The 20,028-nt window shown below is 39.3% G+C and overlaps 1 protein-coding gene and 1 long non-coding RNA gene across 8 annotated transcripts in view; one reads left to right on the forward strand and one right to left on the reverse strand.

Annotated features, from left to right (window-relative positions):
* JAKMIP2-AS1 (JAKMIP2 antisense RNA 1) overlaps positions 1–20,028 on the forward strand; it is a 102,016-nt gene that overhangs the window by 35,266 nt on the left and 46,722 nt on the right. The window contains exon 3 of the long non-coding RNA NR_038902.1: positions 181–281. This is a non-coding gene — a long non-coding RNA (JAKMIP2 antisense RNA 1). The remainder of the gene's footprint in view (positions 1–180; positions 282–20,028) is intronic.
* The window catches only part of JAKMIP2 (janus kinase and microtubule interacting protein 2), a 197,291-nt gene that overhangs the window by 9,822 nt on the left and 167,441 nt on the right, over positions 1–20,028 (reverse strand). For 3 of the 7 annotated variants that reach the window (NM_001282282.2, NM_001270934.2, NM_001270941.2), the window contains 2 exons: positions 17,047–17,112; positions 6,482–6,552 (listed from right to left, as the gene is read on the reverse strand). In NM_001282282.2, coding sequence (NP_001269211.1) covers positions 6,502–6,552; positions 17,047–17,112 — 117 coding nt within the window. In that variant the 3' untranslated portion in view covers positions 6,482–6,501. Of the gene's footprint in view, positions 1–6,477; positions 6,553–17,046; positions 17,113–20,028 lie in introns of those variants that run through there. The other 4 variants (XM_047417950.1, XM_047417949.1, XM_047417951.1 and 1 more) reach the window with 2 other exon arrangements.

Genomic DNA, 20,028 nt, shown 5'->3' on the forward strand with positions numbered 1-20,028 from the left:
ATGCTGAAAGTTAATCCCCAGTGCAAGAGTATTAACAGGTGAGGCTTTTAGGAGGTTATTAGGCCATGAGTGCAGAATGGATGAGGGATTAGTGCCTTATGAAAGAGCTGGAGAGAACTAACTTAGGCTCTTTTGCCCCTCTGTTCCTTCTGTCCTGTGACACAGCTTTGCCCCCTCCAGGGGATGCAACAACAAGGCGCCATCTTGGAAGTAGACACCAGGCCCTCACCAGACACCAAACCTGCTGGTGCCTCGATCTTCAATTTCCAGCCTCCAGAGTGGTGAGCAATACATTACTATTACTCATAAATTACCTAGTCTCAGGTATTTTGTTATAATAGCACAAATGGACTAAGACAGAGAGTTATAATGGTCTCCATTATGCAGAATTGTTGTAAGTATTACATAAAATAATAAATATAAATGTACCTTTTGAACTGTAAAGCAAGTTGTACTCTCCTTCCTTATTGAAATATCATTAATATTATTTTAAAAGTATTTATTGATTGTTGACTATGTGCTAGACACTGTTGGTTATGTGCTAGGTATTTGGTATACAAGGTTGAACAAAATTATATGGTCATTATCTGCATCAAGCTTATTTACAATGAGAAAGAGTGACATTAATTAAAAAAATGTGTATTTATATATATATTTCCCCAATGTATGTAAAATTTGTTCAGAAAGGAAGTCAAGAAAGATGCCCTTGTGGGAATCACAACTGAACTGAGATCCGAAGGATAGGTGAGTAGTAGGTGTTTACTAGTTAAAGCAGAAGGGAAGCATTCTGTGCACCAAGTCAGCTTGGGCAAACCCTGTGGAAGGCAGGAAGGCACATGGTTCATTAAGGGAAACTGGAGCAACAGGAAGCCTGAGAGATTGCCCGTGTGGTTAGACCATGCAGGGCTTTGTTGGCCAAGTTAAAAAATTCAAATTTGATCTTTTTTTTTTTTTAACTTGTTATCAATAGATTGGTTGAAGGAACTTGATCCTAACACAGTGATATTTTCCTAGGATGGGGGTCAAGGTAAGGTTTGCCTTTCTAAAACTCACTCTAACTGCTGTGTGGAGAATGAGTTATAAGAATGTCTATAGTGGAAGCACTGAGCCCAGTTAGTGGGCTACTTCAGCTGTGGAGGAGGGGATAATATATTTGTTTATGTCCTCTTTCCTTTGTCAATGCATTCTTTAAGGTAGTCTTCAAATGGTATATAAAAAAACAAATTGAATATGAGTTATCTTTGAAAGATACGACAACTCTATTCATGGTTCTGATCTAACATATCCCAAATCTGCTTTCATATTCATTTTCCCAGCTATTCATTCATCCATCTGCCTCTCAGTTCATCTGTCAATCTGAAATTTATTCTGCACCTAGGATAGATAAGGCACTGTTATAGACACTAAAGATACAAAGATGAATAAAACATAACTCCTACCCTATGCTTTATTAGTACAATTTGTGAGACAAATAGGGAAACAATTTATATATGACTGGATAAAGCTAATGGATATATTTACACAAAAAGGAATTACTAACTGGCATAAACTGATTCATCTTAGACTTTCCTTATCCATGTAAAAACTAAGGAGTAAAATTTTCCTACTAATACTTTATTTTTTTGGTGGGGGGATGGAGTCTTACTCTGTCACCCAGGCTGGAGTGTAGTGGTACAATCTTGGCTCACTGCAGCCTCTGCCTCCTGGGTTCTAAGTGATTCTCCTGCCTTAGCCTCCCAAGTAGCTGGGATTATAGGCACGGACCACCATGCCTGGCTAATTTTTGTATTTTTTTTTTTTTTTTAGTAGAATGGGGTTTCATCATGTTGGCCAGGCTGGTCTCGAACTCCTGACCTCAGGTGATCCGCCTGCCTCAGCCTCCCAAAGTGCTGGGATTACAGGAGTGAGCCACCGCGCCTGGCCGATCGTACTAATACTCTAAATGACGAATATAATAGAGACTGGTCATGTGGCCATTTGTTTTCCCCAGGCTACCTGAGTAAATATTTGCACGTTTTAACAAATAATACAGTACTTAATTTTTCTTAAGTTTTTTTCCATTAGAACAATAACATAGTATTATGTGCCTTTTAAAATTTTTCATGTTATTAGACAGGAAGTAAAAATATTGGGCTGTCAAGTTCAAAAATTTATGGTTAACACTGGAGAAATATCATTAAAATTTATATACATATATCTCCAAATGCATGTAAAATTTGTCCAGTGGGGGACAGTAAAAATGAGCTAGGCCAGTGTATGTGGATAAATAATCATGATCACCTGTTCTGTGGTCCTCCCAACTTCATAATGAGCAAAACTGGTGCTGTCATGTTCTTCATTATTTCATCCTTGCTCAGAAAAGGAGGATTTTCAATGGGTCATTGCAACCTGGGTATAGCAGCTAATCTGGTGATAGCTATTTTTGTATTCCTCTAATTTTTTTCTTTCCTTTGTCTCCCTGTGTAACCATGTAATGTGACACAATGAGTCGTTGCTATGGCTTAAATGTGTCTCCCACAAAGCGTGTGTTAGAAACTTAATCCCTAGTGCAACAGTGTTGGGAGTTGGAACCTGATGAGAGGCCATGAAGGTGGAGTGAATGCCTAGTAACTCCAGGTCCTTCAGCCTTTGGACTCTGGGACTTGCACCAGCAGCCTCCTGGGGCTCTCAAGCCTTTGGCCTTTGACTGAGAGTTACACCTCTGGCTTCCTTGGTTCTTGGGTCTTCTTATTCCTTTTTTTTTTTTCTTTATTTTTTGAGATGGGGTCTCATTTTGTCGCCCAGGCTGGAATGCAATGGTGCGATCTCAGCTCACTGCAACCTCCACCTCCCAGGTTCAAGCAATTCTCCTCCCTCAGCCTCCCAAAAGTAGCTGGGACTACAGGCGCCCGCCACCACGCCTGGCTAATTTTTGTATTTTTATTAGAGACGCGGTTTCACCATATTGGCCAGGCTGGTTTTGAACTCCTGACCTTGTGATCTGCCAGCCTCAGCCTCCCAAAGTGCTGGGATTACAGGCGTGAGCCATCAGCGGTTCTTGGGTTTCTGATTTGAACAGAGCCATGTTGCTTCTCTGGTTCTCCAGCGTGCAGATGGCTTACCATGGGACTTCTCCACCCCCATAACCAGGTGAGCGAATTCTCTTAATAAAGCCGCTCTCATTTTCATCTATCTATCTATCTATCTATCTATCTATCTATCATCTATCTATGTATCATCTATCTATCTATCTATGCTATTGGTTACCTCTCTGGAGAACCTGACTAATACATTGATATGCCATTCGTTTGGAAAACCAGAATGCATAGCCAGATAATATCTTCTGGAACTACTTGGAGTCCCCTTGTTTAAAGTAAAAGTCCTGATATAATCCATGCAGTTATTTAGTCAATGCCAGCACTGAGTCCAGTAAGGGTGCCTTCTAGGGAGCGTTCGATGGCTTCTATATCATTACTGACAATAATGACTTAGGCAATTACTAAAAGAAAAAAAGTAGGAGTCTCTCCATTTTAAGGAGGACTTTGTCATTTAAGCTAGTCTTGGGTTTATGAACACAATACAAATCATTAATTTAGTATGGAAAAAAATTTATCGTAATTTGCAGTAAGCTTTCACTACCTACCAATAAAGAAGCACTTTTTCCCTTACTTCTTCCTATTTCTATCTTGCCAACTTTGGAGACATAAGTAGCATTGATCAGTTTTCAGTGATGTTTTATTCCCTAATATTATTTAAAGCCAGATTATTCCCTGAGAAGAGGAGATGAAAAAGCAACTATTTGTTTGGGTTTAGGCTGAAAACTACTTGGCAGTACTAGAGGTTATAATTTTGAATTTAGTATAATTTTGTATACTAGAATACTAGTATAATTTAGTGTAATTTTGAATTCAGTAAATGTGGTAGCTAATTTTTAAATCTAATAATAGCTAAGAGTTACTGATTAATGATTTTCCAGGCACTGTTATGCCTTTGACATGCATAACCTCGTCTCATTCTCTCAACACAACACCCTGCTGTAGGTAACATGATTATAACCATTTTGTGGAATAGGAAACCTAATCTTGGGTGGATTAAATAAACTGCCTATCATCACACAACTAGTAAATGGCAGGACTCAAGCTTTAAATTATATCTGACTTGTAAGCTGTGCACTCTAACCTCTCAGCCATTTTACTGCATATGCAATATATTTATTGCCCAGATTCACTGTCACATTCATCGGCTATATTATTAATTATCATTATAGTCATTCACTTAACAGACAATTACTAAGTGTCATTTATGTGCTACTTTGGAGGAAAAACATCAAATCTTGTACATCCCTCAAGGAGTTACACAAAATGGGAAAAGGTACAGAGACGAGCACACTGTAATTTCAAAAGCCAGTAGCTAAGTAGTACTATACAAATAGATGACGCTTCTGATGAGGATACATATGAACGCCAATGTTGCTTGAAACATGGGAGAAAGGCCCTTTTTTACTTGTGAGGCAGTTTGGTGGTTAGAAGTGGATTCTGGGCTGAGGCTGCCTGGGTACAAATTGGTAGCTGGATGGTCTTGGGAAAGTCACATGCTGTAGTTTCTCCAACTACAAATTAGGGATAAAAGCAATACCTATCCCACAGGGGATTTCATGAGGATTAAATGTATCTATTACTTAGAACAGCTCCCAGGACATAATCAGCTTTGGCCAGCATTGATGTTAATGCTGAAGCCTATCCATTTTCTACCTAGTACTTACAAGGTTTGATATTTCTTCTGTAAACCACCATGTATTACTTGTCTCTTACTGAAATTTATTTTCCCTACTTTTAAAATTTATTTACTGTTTTTTTTTTTTTTTTTTTTTTTTGGTGGGGGGAGGCTGTTTGTTTCCTGATACTCTGGTCATTTTGATCCTTTACTAGTGAATCTCCCTCCACTTCAATTTGGATATTCCCATTCAATTTAAGAGACTTAGTCCTCTTCTTTCCATCCTACAAGGCTGTCATCTTTCTTGACAGACAAAGGATAGTGGTCAATCTGAAAAGAAAATATTTTGGAAGAAAGAATATAGCCAGAGAGTGAGTTATGAGTTCATATATTTTCTGAGCATATCTACTTAACTCTTTGCTTGTATCAGGTTATTCTAAAGCACTTTTACTTGTCTGTTCCATATCCAGGTAACAGATCTCATACCTATGGAGGGAGAAAGTGCCTCTCTTCTGTTTTCCAACTTGCTGTAGAAAATGTTAAATCACCTGAGGTCCAGGAAAGATCTCAGGCTAATATAATTTAATAGGATAATCAGAGTTGACATGAACCATGATAAATGGATTTAGAATAGCCGCTGGCCCTTCTTCTTTTTGAACAGTGGTATTGAGATTTGTGGTTTCCCTATTTGGCCGGCCATCAGAATCACATAGCGTGCTTGTTAAATACAGACCAGTCCTTGCTCTCATCTCTCCCACCCTCTCTCTATCTCCCTCTATCTCCAGTGATCTGACTCAGCAAGTCTGAGGTGGGGCTTAAAAATCTATATTTTTAAGCACTGGGAATCACTAAGATTATTTATGCATGTATTCATGAGACATGGACTTAATAATAGTAATTATAAGACTCTCCTTTTTGTTTTCTATATTGACATTGAAAAGTAACTTATTTGAAAACAAGATCCACTTAGCCTGCTTTCTTGAGTTTTAATGAACTCCCTAGTCTCTACTGGGGAAAAGGGGTGAAAAAAACAGCAGTCATTACTAGCTTGTTAGATTAGCAGAATCAGAATTTTCAAGCTGAACGCAACACTAAAGATAACGTCATTATTTATTCACTTTGCAGATACAGATGCAACTTTCTGCATAATGGGAGACTATGATGAGAATGCTAACAACCACAGACATTGTGACTTCCCAAAGTAATACAGTTAACTGGAACAGATTCTTGATTCCCAGAATATTTGGTTTCTTCACTTTTCTAATAATCACCCAAATAGACTGGATCTATTTCTCAATTTATGGCATTTATGCTAACCAAAGCAAGTGTGTTTGTATTTTAAAAATATAGCATAGTTAAAATATATAGACCAGGCCTGATGGCTTGGTCAACACTTTGGGAGGCTAAGGCAGGAGGATTGCTTGAGCTCTGAAGTTCAAGACTACCCTGGGCAACAAAGTGAGACCTTGTCTCTACTAAAAATAATAATAAAAAAAAATTAGCTGAGCATGGTGACACATGCCTGTAGTCCCAGCTACTCAGGAGGCTGAGGTTGGAGGATCGCTTTGAGCCTGGGAGATTGAGGCTGCCAGTGAATGATCTGATTGTGCCACTGTATTCCAGCCTGGGTGACAGAACAAGACTCTGTCTCAAAACAAAACAAAACAAAACAAAACAAAACAAAACAAAACAAAACAAAAAACTAAAGAAAGGCATAGTAACTATAGGTAACATCCTTTTTATCAAATACCTCTTAGAACCACATTTTGAGAATTAAATGGAATCTTACCTTTAAGAGGCACCTTGACATCAAGGCCATAGAATAAAGGCAAGAGAGAAGAACAAGAATAGAAACAGAAACTGCAGAAGAAAAAGAAGAAGATTATGTAAATCTGAATTTCTGTAGTGCCATTCAGGTAGTACAAAACCTCAGCTTTTCCATATTGCTCAAGTCTAATCACTTCACACATGAACATCAAGCACCTTTTTGTTTAAAAAAATCCACACCTTTTATGTAGCTACTGACAGAGTATCAGTGTTCAACTAACATTGATTCATACATTTTAGAATCATGAGGTGGTCTTACGAACAATTGGTCTAAGCTCCTAATTTTACAGATAAGAAAAATAAGCACAGAGCAGTAAATCAATAGTTTAATTTCATACAATTTTATGGCACAGTGAGGGCTAAAGCTTAGCTAGCCTGAATCCTACTTTATTATATATCACTGTCTCTTTCATGCACAAGAGGGTATTTCAAAAACACAAAATACGATCAGAACATACACTTAATCATGCAGTACTATCTTTTTTGGTTACTATGATAGGTTTTAGGATTAAGGCACAGCTGGGAGAATATTAATCTGTAGGCTAAATATATACTTAATTACTCACAGTGGAACATTTCAGAGAGAGAAATGGACACTGTTAATAATTACATTGGGTTGATGGGTAAAAACTGGGTCTGTCCTAGGCAAGTGGGGACATCTGGTCATGCTATTGGTATAAAACCTGCTTCTGCATCAATGGGCATTTCACATAATAAATGCGTGATGTTGTTCCACCTCCAAGATAGACTTCTTCTTATTTGAGTCATGGAAGTTAAATGGAGTCTGATTTGTTTCTCTTCACCAAATTTTTCACTTGAGAAACAGATAATTGGATGGACAAACAGTGCTTGAGTAGCACAGGTATATAACTAACCGTATACTAACTATAAAAAGTCATGGGTCAGGTCAGTTTTAAAAAAAATAATTGATTTCCTTGGTGGTTTTATTTTACAGAGTAAGTCTTTTACTTGATTATCACACTCCAGGAACATACCGTTGGACACATCTGTGAATAAGGGTTATGTCTGGCATTCTCATATTGTGAATGTTATTAGCATATTTCCTTTAATGCTACTGCTTATAAGGTTCTTGCTTCACTATGGCTAAATTCTATAAACAAGTTATGAGTATGGCTCTAAGAGGCATGTATTGGTGGCTAGTCTATTATTCTGAAAAGCAAAAACTGTTGCTTTTCTTCATTCCTTGAAGGTAGACTTATAGCAGGAGAAGTTCGAGAATGAGAGTAATGGACGAATTCCCATTCCTGCTATTTCTATGAGAAGATCAGATATCAGAGCTACCTCTTTGGGCATGAGGAGATGCCCATCACTTAATCTGTAATGAGAGTCTTAATCCCTGCCGTGTGGTGGGCAGATCATGCCATTTGGAGTCAGACACCCTGACCTCTGGTTTTGACTTGCCATAAATTGGTTATATAATTTTGGGCAAGTTGTTTAATTTCTTTGAGCCATTGTTTTATTATTTGTATAAAAGGGGATCATAACATCTGTAGTGTCTGTCTCATAGAGTAATTATGAGAATCAGATGAAATGATGGCAGTGGAAGTGCTCTAGATATGGTGCATACAGATATTATGCTCTAGATAAGTGCTGCACACAGCTGAAGCAATTTTGCTAGGTTTGTTGTTACCAACTGATTCACTGAAATAAACAATAAAGAGGGGATATTACATGTACCCTGAGTGGGTGTTCACGTACCACAAGGGAAGAATGAAGAGTATCTCTGGCATACAGGATCTTTAGCCTTTTTACTAGACTTAAGGGTGAGGAGAACTGAAGTCCAATGAGTAGAAGGTGAATCATAAACCTCATCTCTAGTCAAATATCTAATCAGAAGTCAACTGGATTGTTTTTGAAGTGGTTGAATTTGCTACCATATGTGAAATATGCAAGGTTGATAATTAGATCCTTATTTTCTTTGAAGTAAGATTATTACCCCATTATCATAAAAGTTCAGGAAGTTCAGACCCGTAAAGTGTACTGAGCAAAAGAATTGTGAAAAAGTTTACATTGAATTCCAACAATGAACATGATCTTAATCTCCCTTCTTCCAAAATTTTTGAGGGTTTTATTTAGAGAATGGCTAGGGTGATGACGTTGATAGATTTTGTTTTCTCCCCTTTTTGTTTTTTTTAAACCTCAGCTGGATGGGGACTGAATGGGTATCATCGAGTTTTGGGGGAAGAATAGCCTTAACTTTGACTTCTTCCTTGAGCCAGCCCTAGGGTAGCTTATGAATTAGCAGAGAGAGAGAGCTAAGAGCTGGCCATTCACAAGTGTGGAAAATGGAAGATATTAAGTGTGGTCTTTGACAAACAGGGAAGCTGAAAGCAATCCCTGCCTTCTGTGGGGCTTCCTGCCAATCACTGGGAAATTTATTGTATGTTATTGTTGCCTCACTCAATCCTGCAAAACTAAATAGCCCCTTCTGAAATGTGAGAAATTCAAATTTAAAATTTTGCAGAGAATGTATACTTTGGGTCAGAAATTTTAAAAATTACACTTTTAGAATTTGACTTACACATTTTTAGTGTTTCCTTTTTCACATAAGTGACCTCATTTGTTCCTCATGGAACCCATGGGAAGAAGAAGGGACAAGTGTTATCATCCCTGTTTTAGAGATATGGCTTAGACAGAGGAGGTGAAGTTATTTACTTAAGGTCAAATGAGTACCTGAAGACCCACCCTATATAAAAATCTGGATGCCTGGTGGTCTAGCTACTTGAGCCCACCAACTCCCTTTAACCTCACATATATGGATAATTATAGAAGCAATCTGGGATTAACCAAATTTTAACCATTATTGCAGGAAGGGCAGATAGTTTGCTACTTTCTTCTTGTGTGCCTATGGAAGCTATTATAAAACAGCCATAACATTTTACCATACAGGGATTCAGGTAGCTACTTTCAGTCAATCTGATTGGAATTCCAGAGAAAAACCTCTTTGGCATCCTTGCTATTTCCCTCAGCAGAATATTCCTGGTGTCTTGGGCCAGACATTTTATTATTATTATTATTATTATTATTATTATTATTATTATTATACTTTAAGTTCTGGGATATATGCGCAGAACGTGCAGGTTTGTTACATAAGTATACATGTGCCATGGTGGTTTGCTGCACCCATCAACCCGTCATCTACATTAGGTATTTCTCCTAATGCTATCCCTCCCCTTGCTCCCCACCCCCCGACAGGCCCTGGTGTGTGATGTTCCCCAACCTGTGCCCGTATGTTCTCATTGTTCAACTCCCACTTATGAGTGAGAACATGCAGTGTTTGGTTTTCTATTCCTCTGTTAGTTTGCTGAGAATGACTGTTTCCAACTTCATCCATGTCCCTGCAAAGGATACAAACTCATCGTTTTTTATGGTTGCATAGTATTCCATGGTGTATATGTGCCACATTTTTTTTTTTTTTTTTTTTTTTTGAGACGGAGTCTTGCTCTGTCGCCCAGGCTGGAGTGCAGTGGCATGATCTTGGCTCACTGCAAGCTCCGCCTCCCAGGTTCATGCCATTCTCCTGCCTCAGCCTCTCCAGTAGCTGGGACTACAGGCTCCCACCACCTCACCCGGCTAATTTTTTGTATTTTTAGTAGAGACAGGGTTTCACCGTGTTAACTAGGATGGTCTCGATCTCCTGACCTGGTGATCCGCCCACCTCGGCCTCCCAAAGTGCTGGGATTACAGGTGTGAGCCACCGGGCCTGGGCCTGTGCCACATTTTCTTTTTCCAATCTAACAATCATGGGCATTTGGGTTGGTTCCAAGTCTTTGTTATTGTGAATAGTGCTGCAATAAACATACGTGTGCATAGGTCTTTATAGTAGAATGATTCATAATCCTTTGGGTTATATATCCAGTAATGGGTTTATAATTTATAATCCTTTGGGTTATAAATCCAGTAATGAGATTGCTGGGTCAAATGGTATTTCTAGTTCTAGATCCTTGAGGAATCACCACACTGTCTTCCACAATGGTTGAACTAATTTACACTCCCGCCAATCATGTAAAATCATTCCTATTTCTCCACATCCTCTCCAGCATCTATTGTTTCCTGACTTTTTAATGATAGCCATTCTAACTGGTGTGAGATGGTATCTCATTGTGGTTTTAATTTGCATTTCTCTAATGACCAGTGATGATGAGCTTTTTTTCATGTTTGTTGGCTGCATTATGTCTTATTTTGAAAAGCGTCTGTTCACATCCTTTGCCCACTTTTTGATGGGGTTGTTTGCTTTTTTCCTTGTAAATTTGTTTAAGTTCCCTGTAGATTCTGGATAACAGCCCTTTTTCAGATGGATAGATTGCAAAAATTCCCTCCCATTCTGTAGGTTATCTGTTCACTCTGATGATAGTTTTTTTTGCTGTGCAGATGCTCTTTAGCTTAATTAGATCCTATTTGTCAATTTTGGATTTTGTTGCCATTGCTTTTGGTGTTTTAGTCATGAAGTCTTTGCCCATGCTTATGTCCTGAATGGTATTGCCTAGATTTTCTTCTAAGGTTTTTATGGTTTTAGGTCTTACGTTTAAATCTTTAATCCATCTTGAGTTAATTTTCGTATAAGGTGTAAGGAAGGGGTCCAGTTTGAGTTTTCTGAATGTGGCTAGCTGGTTTTCTGAACACCTTTTATTAAATAGGGAATCCTTTCCCCATTGCTTGTTTTTGGCAGGTTTGTCAAAGATCCGATGGTTGTAGATGTGTGGTGTTATTTCTGAGGCCTCTGTTCTGTTCCATTGGTCTATATATCTGTTTTGTTACCAGTACTATGCTGTTTTGTTTACTGTAGACTTGTAGTATGGTCTGAAGTCAGGTAGCATGATGCCTCCAGCTTTGTTCTTTTTGCTAGGATTGTCTTGGCTATATGGGCTCATCTTTGGTTCCATATGAAATTTAAAACAGTTTTTTCTAATTCTGTGAAGAAAGTAAATGGTAGCTTGATGGGAATAGCATTGAATCTATAAATTACTTTGGGCAGTATGGCCATTTTCATGATACTGATTCTTTCTATCCATGAGCATGGAATGTTTTTCCATTTGTTTGTGTTCTCTCTTATTGCCTTGAGTAGTGGATTTTAGTTCTTCTTGAAGTGGTCCTTCCCACGTAAGTTGTATTCCTAGGTATTTTATTCTCCTTGTAGCAATTGTGAATGGGAGTTCACTCATGATTTGGCTCTCTGTCTATTATTGGTGTATAGGAATGCTTGTGATTTTTGCACATTGATTTTGTATCTTGAGAGTTTGCTGAAGTTGCTTATCAGCTTAAGGAGTTTTTGGGCTGAGACAATGGGGTTTTCTAAATATACAATCATGTCATCTGCAAACAGAGACAATTTGACTTCCTCTCTTCCTATCTGAATACACTTTATTTCTTTCTCTTGTCTGATTATACTGGCCAAAACTTCCAATACTATGTTGAATAGGAGTGGTAAGAGACAGCATCCTTGTTTTGTGCCGGTTTTCAAAGGGAATGCTTCCAGCTTTTGCCCATTCAGTATGATATTGGCTGTGGGTCTGTCATAAACAGCTCTTATTATTTTGAGATATGTTCCATCAATACCTAGTTTATTGAGTGTTTTTAGCATGAATGGGTGTTGAATTTTATCAAAGGCCTTTTCTGCATCTATTGAGATAATCATGTGGTTTTTGTCATTGGTTCTGTTTATGTGATGGATTACGTTTATTGATTTATGTATGTTGAACCAGGCTTGCATCCCAGGGATGAAGCCAATGCGATCGTGGTGGATAAGGTTTTTAATGTGCTGCTGGATTTGGTTTGCCAGTATTTTATTGAGGATTGTCACAACGATGCTCATCAGGGATACTGGCCTGAAATTTTGTTGTTGTTGTTGTGTCTCTGCCAGGTTTTATATCAGAATGATGCTGGCCTCATAAAATGAGTTAGGGAGAAGTCCCTTTTTTTCTATTGTTTGGAATAGTTTCAGAATGAATGGTACCAACTCCTCTTTGTACCTCTGGTAGAATTCAGCTGTGAATCCGCCTGGTCCTGGGCTTTTTTTGGTTGGTAGGCAATTAATTACTGCCTCTATTTCAGAACTTCTTATTGGTCTATTCAGGGATTTGACTTCTTCTTGGTTTAGCCTTGGGAGGGTGTATGTGTCCAGGAATTTATCAATTTCTTCTAGATTTTCTATTTATTTGCATAGAGGTGTTTATAGTATTCTCTGATCGTAGTTTGTATTTCTGTGGGATCAGTGGTGATCCCCCCTTTATCATTTTTTATTGTGTCTATTTGATTCTTCTCTCTTTTCTTGTTTATTAGTCTGGCTAGCGGTCTATGTATTTTGTTGATTTTTTCAAAAAACCAGCTCCTGGATTCATTGATTTTTTGAAGGGTTTTTCGTGTCTCTATCTCCTTCAGTTTTGCTCTGATCTTAGTTATTTCTTGTATTCTGCTAACTTTTGAATTTGTTTGCTCTTGATTCTCTAGTTCTTTTCATTGTGATGTTAGGGTGGTGATTTTAGATCTTTCCCACTTTCTCCTGTGGGGATTTAGTGCTATAAATTTCCCTCTAAACACTGTTTTAGCTGTGTCCCAGAGATTCTGTTATGTTGTGTCTTTGTTCTCATTGGTTTCAAATAGCTTATTTGTTTCTGCCTTAATTTCGTTATTTACCCATTAGTCATTCAGGAACAGATTGTTCGGTTTCCATGTAGTTGTGTGGTTTTAAGTGAGTTTCTTAATCCTGAGTTCTAATTTGATTGCACTGTGGTCTGAGAGACTGTTTGTTATGATTTCTGTTCTTTTGCATTTGCTGAGGAGTGTTTTACTTTCAATTATATGGTCGATTTTAGAATAAGAGCTATGTGGTGCTGAGCAGAATGTATGTTCTGTTGATTTGGGGTGGAGAGTTCTGTAGATGTCTATTAGGTCTGCTTGGTCCAGAGCTGAGTTCAAGTCCTGAATTTCCTTGTTAGTTTTCTGCCTTGTTGATTAGTCTAATATTGACAGTGGGGTGTTAAAGTTTCCCACTATTAACGTGTGTGAGTCTAAGTCTCTTTGTAGGTCTCTAAGAACTTGCTTTATGAATCTGGGTGTTCCTATATTGGATGCATATATATTTAGGATAGTTCGCTCTTCTTGTTGCATCGATCTCTTTACCATTATGTAATGCCCTGCTTTGTCTTTTTTGATTTTTGTTGGTTTAAAGTCGGTTTTATCAGAGACTAGAATTGCAACCCCAGCTTTTTTTTTGCTTTCCATTTGCTTGGTAAATCTTTCTCCATTCCTTTATTTTGAGTCTATGTGTGTCTTTGCACATGAGATGGGTCTCCTGAATACAGTACACTAATGGGTTTTGACTTTTTATCCAATTTGCCAGTCTGTGCCTTTTAATTGGGGCATTTAGCCCATTTACATTTAAGGCTAATATTGTTATGTGTGAATTTGATCCTGTCATTGTGATGCTAGCTGGTTGTTTTGCCCATTAGTTGATGCAGTTTCTTCATAGCGTTGACGGTCTTTGCATTTTGGGTTGTTTTTGCAGTGGCTGGTACCAGATTTCCTTTCCATATTTAGTGCTTCCTTCAGGAACTCTTGTAAGGCAGGCCTGATGGTGACAAAATCCCTTAGCATTTGCTTGTCTGTAAAGGATTTTATTTCTCCTTCACTTATGAAGCTTAGTTTGGCTGGATATGAAATTCTGGGTTGAAAATTCTTTTCTTTAAGAATGTTGAATATTGGCCCCTACTCTCTTCTGGCTTGTAGGGTTTCTGCTGAGAGATCCACTGTTAGTCTGATGGGCTTCCCTTTGTGGGTAACCCGCCCTTTCTCTCTGGCTGTGCTTAACATTTTTTTCCTTCATTTCAACCTTGCTTAATCTGATGATTATGTGTCTTAGGGCTGCTCTTCTCGAGGAGTATCTTTGTGGTGTTCTCTGTATTTCCTGAATTTGAATGTTGGCCTGTCTTGCTAGATTGGGGAAGTTCTCCCGGATAATTTCCTGAAGTGTGTTTTCAAACTTAGTTCCATTCTCTCCATCACTTTCAGGTACACCAATCAAACATAGGTTTGGTCTTTACACATAGTCTCATAGTCTCATATTTCTTAGAAGCTTTGTTCATTTCTTTTCATTCTTTTTTCTCTAATCTTGTCTTCACACTTTATTTCATTAAGTTGATCAATCTCTGTTATCCTTTCTTCCACTTGATTGATCCAGCTATGGATACTGCATGCTTCACGAAGTTCTTGTGCTGTGTTTTTCAGCTCCATCAGGTCCTTTATGTTCTTTTCTAAACTGGTTATTCTAGTTAGCAATTCCTCTAACCTTTTATTAAGGTTCTTAGCTTCCTTACATTGGGTTATAACATGCTCCTTTAGCTCAGAGGAATTTGTTATTACCCACCTTCTGAAGCCTACTTCTGTCAATTCGTCAAACTAATTCTCCATCCATCCAGTTTTGTTCCCTTGTTTGCAAGGAGTTTTGATCCTTTGGAGGAGAAGAGGCATTCTGGTTTTTGGAATTTTCAGCCTTTTTGTGCTGGTTTTTCCTCATCTTCATGGATTTATCCACCTTTGGCCTTTGCTGTTGGTGACCTTCGGATACAGTTTTTGCATGGTTGTCCTTTTCATTGATGTTGATGCTATTGCTTTCTGTTAGTTTTCCTTCTAACAGTCAGGCCCCTCTGCTGCAAGTCTGCTGGAGTTTGCTGGGGGTCCACTCCAGACTCTGTTTGCCGGTTATCACCAGCAGAGGCTGCAGAATAGCAAAGATTGCTGCCTGCTCCTTCCTATGGAAGCTTCGTCCCTGAAGGGCACACGTCAGATGCCAGCCAGAGTTCTCCAGTAGGAGGTGTCTGTCGAACCCTCCTGGGAGGTATCTCCCAGTCAGGAGGCACGGGGGTCAGGGACCCACTTGAGGAGGCAGTCTGTCCCTTCACAGAGCTTGAGCGCTATGCTGGGAGATCCACTGCTCTCTTCAGAGCCAGCAGGCAGGAATGTTTAAGTCTGCTGAAGCTGCACCCACAGCTGCCCCTTCCCCTAGGTGCTGTGTCCCAGGAAGATGGGAGTTTTATCCATAAGCCCCTGAATGGGGCTGCTGCCTTTCCTTCAGAGATGCTCTGCCCAGAGAGGAGGAATCTAGACAGGCAGTCTGGCTACAGCAGCTTTGTGGCCCTGTGGTGGGCTCCACCTAGTCTGAACTTTCCCATGGCTTTGTTTACACTGTGAGGGGAAAGCAGCCTACTCAAGCTTCAGTAATAGAGAATGCCCCTCCCCCCACCAAGATCGGGCACCCCAGGTTGACTTCAGACTGCTGTGCTGGCAGGTAGAATTTCAACCCAGTGGGTCTTAGCTTGCTGGGATCCATGGGGGTGGGATCCGCTGAGCAAGACCACTTGGCTCCCTGGCTTCAGGCCCCTTTCCAGGGGAGTGAACGGTTGTGTCTTGATGGCATTCCAGGTGCCACTGGGGTATGAAATAAAAACTCATGCAGCTAGCTCAGTGTCTGCCCAAACAGCCTCCTAGTTTTGTGCTTGAAACCCAGGGCCCTTGTGGTGTAGGCACCTGAGGGAATCTTCTGGTCTGTGGGTTGTGAAGACCATGAGAAAAGTGTAGTATCTGGGCCGGAGTGCACCATCCCTCATGGTGCAGTCCCTCATGGCTTCCCTTGGCTAGGGGAGGGATTTCCCCGACCCCTTGCGCTTCTTGGGTGAGGCAACACCCCACCCTGCTTTGGCTTGCCCTCCGTGGGCTGCACCCATTGTCTAACCAGTCCCAATGAGATGAACCAGGTACCTCAGTTAGAAATGCAGAAATCACCTGCCTTCTGTGTTGGTCTGGCTGGGAGCTGCAGATGGGAGCTGTTCCTATTCAGCCATCTTGCTCGGGAATTCCAGGCTTTGGCTTTTTTTGTTGTGCAAGCCTGTGTAGCTCGCTGCTGCTTGTTCAGCATCCCAGCCTGAGCTCTGTCTGTTCTCCCACCCCACACGCATTTCCAAGTGCCCTCTGTAAGAGCCATGTTGTTATATCCCTCAAAAACACTGGCTGACTTGGAAGAAGCAGCCACTCTTTGAGATCACTGGGGAAGTGACAGGACAACATGATTATCATATATCAACCCAAGTTTCTGAATTTACTGTTAAGGTGAAACTGCAGCACAAGGATGAAAGGTCTTTTTATGAATGATAATGGGAAAGGTAAAACAAAGGTGCTAAAAGATTTTTTTAAAAAAAGAGCAAAGTAGGGTAACAAAACTTGAAGAAACTTTTGGAAAGGAAATGAAGATAAGGAAGGGGAAACTAAGGAAAGAAAACACAGAAAAAATAGGAAAGCAACACAAAAGACAAATATGTGAAGGCTGGGTTACTGATGGCAGACGCTTTGCTGGCATTCTGTTTGACTGAAGGTGAAAGCTAGGTTTACTGTAACTATACCTGCCTCTGCAAGACACACAATAACTGAGAAGCCAGGAAGAAAATACAGTGAGCAAAATCAATATTGCTTTCTGATTAAACAAATAATAAGATAGTTATTGAATTTGACACCTACCTTTTCTTCTAAGTCTTTTATTTGTCTTTTCTGGATGTCTGTTTTATCTTCTAAGTCACGAATTCTCTGAAGAAAGAAAAGAAAAGAAAGAAAGCATCAGTAGGTGGTAAGTTGTGCGGAAAAATAATTTACCAAATGAAAACACGAAACTTCCTATACAAACCTGAATATTTGTACAAGCAGCTGGAAACATCGCATGTATGTTTTCCCCACCCAAAAACATGTTGCATGTTTCAGAAATTATCTATGTTTGTGGTAGAAAATCATTGCTACTGATTAACTTTTCAAAAAATATTTGCCACCTTTTCTACTGAGCCTATCCCTGTAGACCCCTTCCTAGTGAGGTGTAGATTCCACACCACTGACATTGAGTTTGGCAAAGAGACTTGTTTTGGCCTGTGGAATGCAAGTTGGAATAAGATTTGGGAATATCAAATCCTTGTAGAGGGTGTAGTATATCTCAGAAGTAGACAGCAAGAAACAAGCTTTGTTATGAACCATTTGGATTGAGATTTTGATTGTTTGTTACCACATTAAAGATGGTTGAGGCTGACTCATATAGATGTAAACAATCCAATTGTTCTTTCTTAACCTTTTTATCTTAACCCCATTTCAACCCTGTTTCAGGATAGAATTTTCTCACAAAATAGAATTGGTAAATTCACAAAACAAAGTAGAGATTACACATCAACAAACATTCCCAGGAGGGAACTGGTAAATTAGGAAAACACCAGAATATAACAAACATAACACAAGTAATCCTAAAGATGAAAAGTTCCAAGACTGTCTTTGAACTTACCTCTCAATTATGTAACAAAATTCCACTAATTTAAACACCGAATATTTGAAATCAACATTACATAACAACTATTTACAAGTAAAATAAAGTCTTCACATTTATATCTGGCAATCTGAAGGTTTTTTTGTGTTCATGTACATGGTTATATAATGCAGGCTTCTTATTTAATACCTCTGTAGGGAATAATTAGAAAATAGAGAAATGGAGTCTATGGAGAAAACACTAGAAGCCAAATGGGATGATAATATAGAAAGAGAGGTTTTTATAATGCAATGGTAGGAGAAAAAAAGGGAAGCTAGAACAAGGGGTACTTGAACTTGGAAAGCATATCTCCTTCTCTTTAAAAGAGTAGATCTCAACTGTTTGTCTCTCCCTGCCCCAGCCAGGGACATTTGGCAGTTCTGCACATTTTTTTAAAGTTAGTTAATATGTTTATTTATTTTAAGTTGTGTAATTCAGTGGTTTTAGTATATTCATAAAATTGTGCAACCATCACCACTATCTAAATGTCTTGACATTTTTGTACTGTCACAACTGGGAGTATGTGCATCTAGCATCTACTGAGTAGAAGCCAGGAATGCTACTAAACATTCGATAAGGCACAGAACAGCCACCCCTCCCCCTAAAAAAGAATAAAGAATTATCTGCTTCAAAATTTCAGTAGTGCTGAAATTGAGAAACTCTTCTTTAAAGTAAGGGGGCTAAGGTTTGTGCAACAAGAGATGGTGTGTTTTGGTCAGAGTGAGACCATAAAGGTTAACCTTGAAATTATACCATAATGAATGCCGGAGAAAGGGATGGAACTGGAATGTTGATGGTGTGTTTATACGTGTATGATTTGTGTGCTGGTGTATATTTCCATAGTGCTGTCAGTGCTCCATAGCTACACAGTAAAAGAATAAATTTGCTAGATATTTCCACCTTGAGTGTTCACGTAATTCCTTGGCATGTCTGCTGGATATGGAGGCAAGTACTATATGGACAAAATCATGAATATGTAAAATTACTGCAGTATCCATTCAGCCATCACATCTATGCTTGTTGGGCACCTCCTTACATGCTCATGACTCTGCTGAATGTAATGGACAATACAGATAAGGCACCAGTTAGTTCCCAGTTTCAAAGAACTATCAGATCCAGATGGAATAGCAAAACTAAATAGAAAAGGTAAACAATGGAAAAAAACTGAATAACTTTGTCACCCATCTCCAATTCCTAGTGCAGTGTTAAGCATGGAGAAGGTGTCCACACATATTTTTTTGTCAAATAAATGTGTTATGCTACATCATATGACGTATACTTGATTTCTTTTTGCTTCCCATCCCTTTGCCATCCACCCAACAGAAAACCTTGCTGGATCTAAAACATTCCTTTTCTACCTACTTCTTTTTATCTCTACTGATACCAAGTTCACCAAGTCATTGTCTTCCCTTGTCAGGGCTGGTGTGGCAGCTTCTACCTGCTCTTCCTGCCTTTTATTTTGACCATCTTACTCCATCAATAGCAGCCATTGTGAACTCTCAGAATGTAAAAATGATCTCCATGGTCCCCTGAGTTTAAGCGGGTGGGGAAGAAAAGAAGGAAGAGTTAGTTGAGTTGTACTCAGAATAAAACTCAAACTCCTGCAAAGCCCTGTGTGATGTGGCCCTTTCTTAGCTCTGCAACGTCTCCTCCTATCAACCTCACTCTGGCTCTGCGTGCTCCTGACATTCTAGCCTTTGCTCTGTTCCTTGACTATTCCAAACTTATTCCCATGATAGGGACTTAGCCCTTGCTGTCCCTGTCTTCTGGGACACTTGGCCAAGATCTTTGTGTGGCTCATTTCTTGGATCGTAGGTATCTTCAGAGAGGCCTCCTCTGACCAGCCAACCTAAAGTGGCCAATCCTACTCCCAAACTCACATACACATTGTATACGTTTCTGCATAGCACTTATTGCCACTCTCAGAAATTGCCTCAGTCATTGTTCATTTGTTCTGTGGCTCTGCCCCTGTCCCTCTGTGAGATAGATGAGAGTAGTGATCTGTATGTCTTTGCTTACCATTATACTCCCAGCACCTGGTACACAGCAGGCCCTCAATAAATGGTTGTGAATGAGTGCATAACAGAATATAGAATGTAGATATCTTGAGCAGTATGTGGTTCATTTTTAAAATTTTCATCAGGGAGAGGATCCTGAATGGG

This window comes from Homo sapiens, chromosome 5 (genome assembly GCF_000001405.40).
Source record: "Homo sapiens chromosome 5, GRCh38.p14 Primary Assembly".
NCBI lineage: Eukaryota > Metazoa > Chordata > Mammalia > Primates > Hominidae > Homo > Homo sapiens.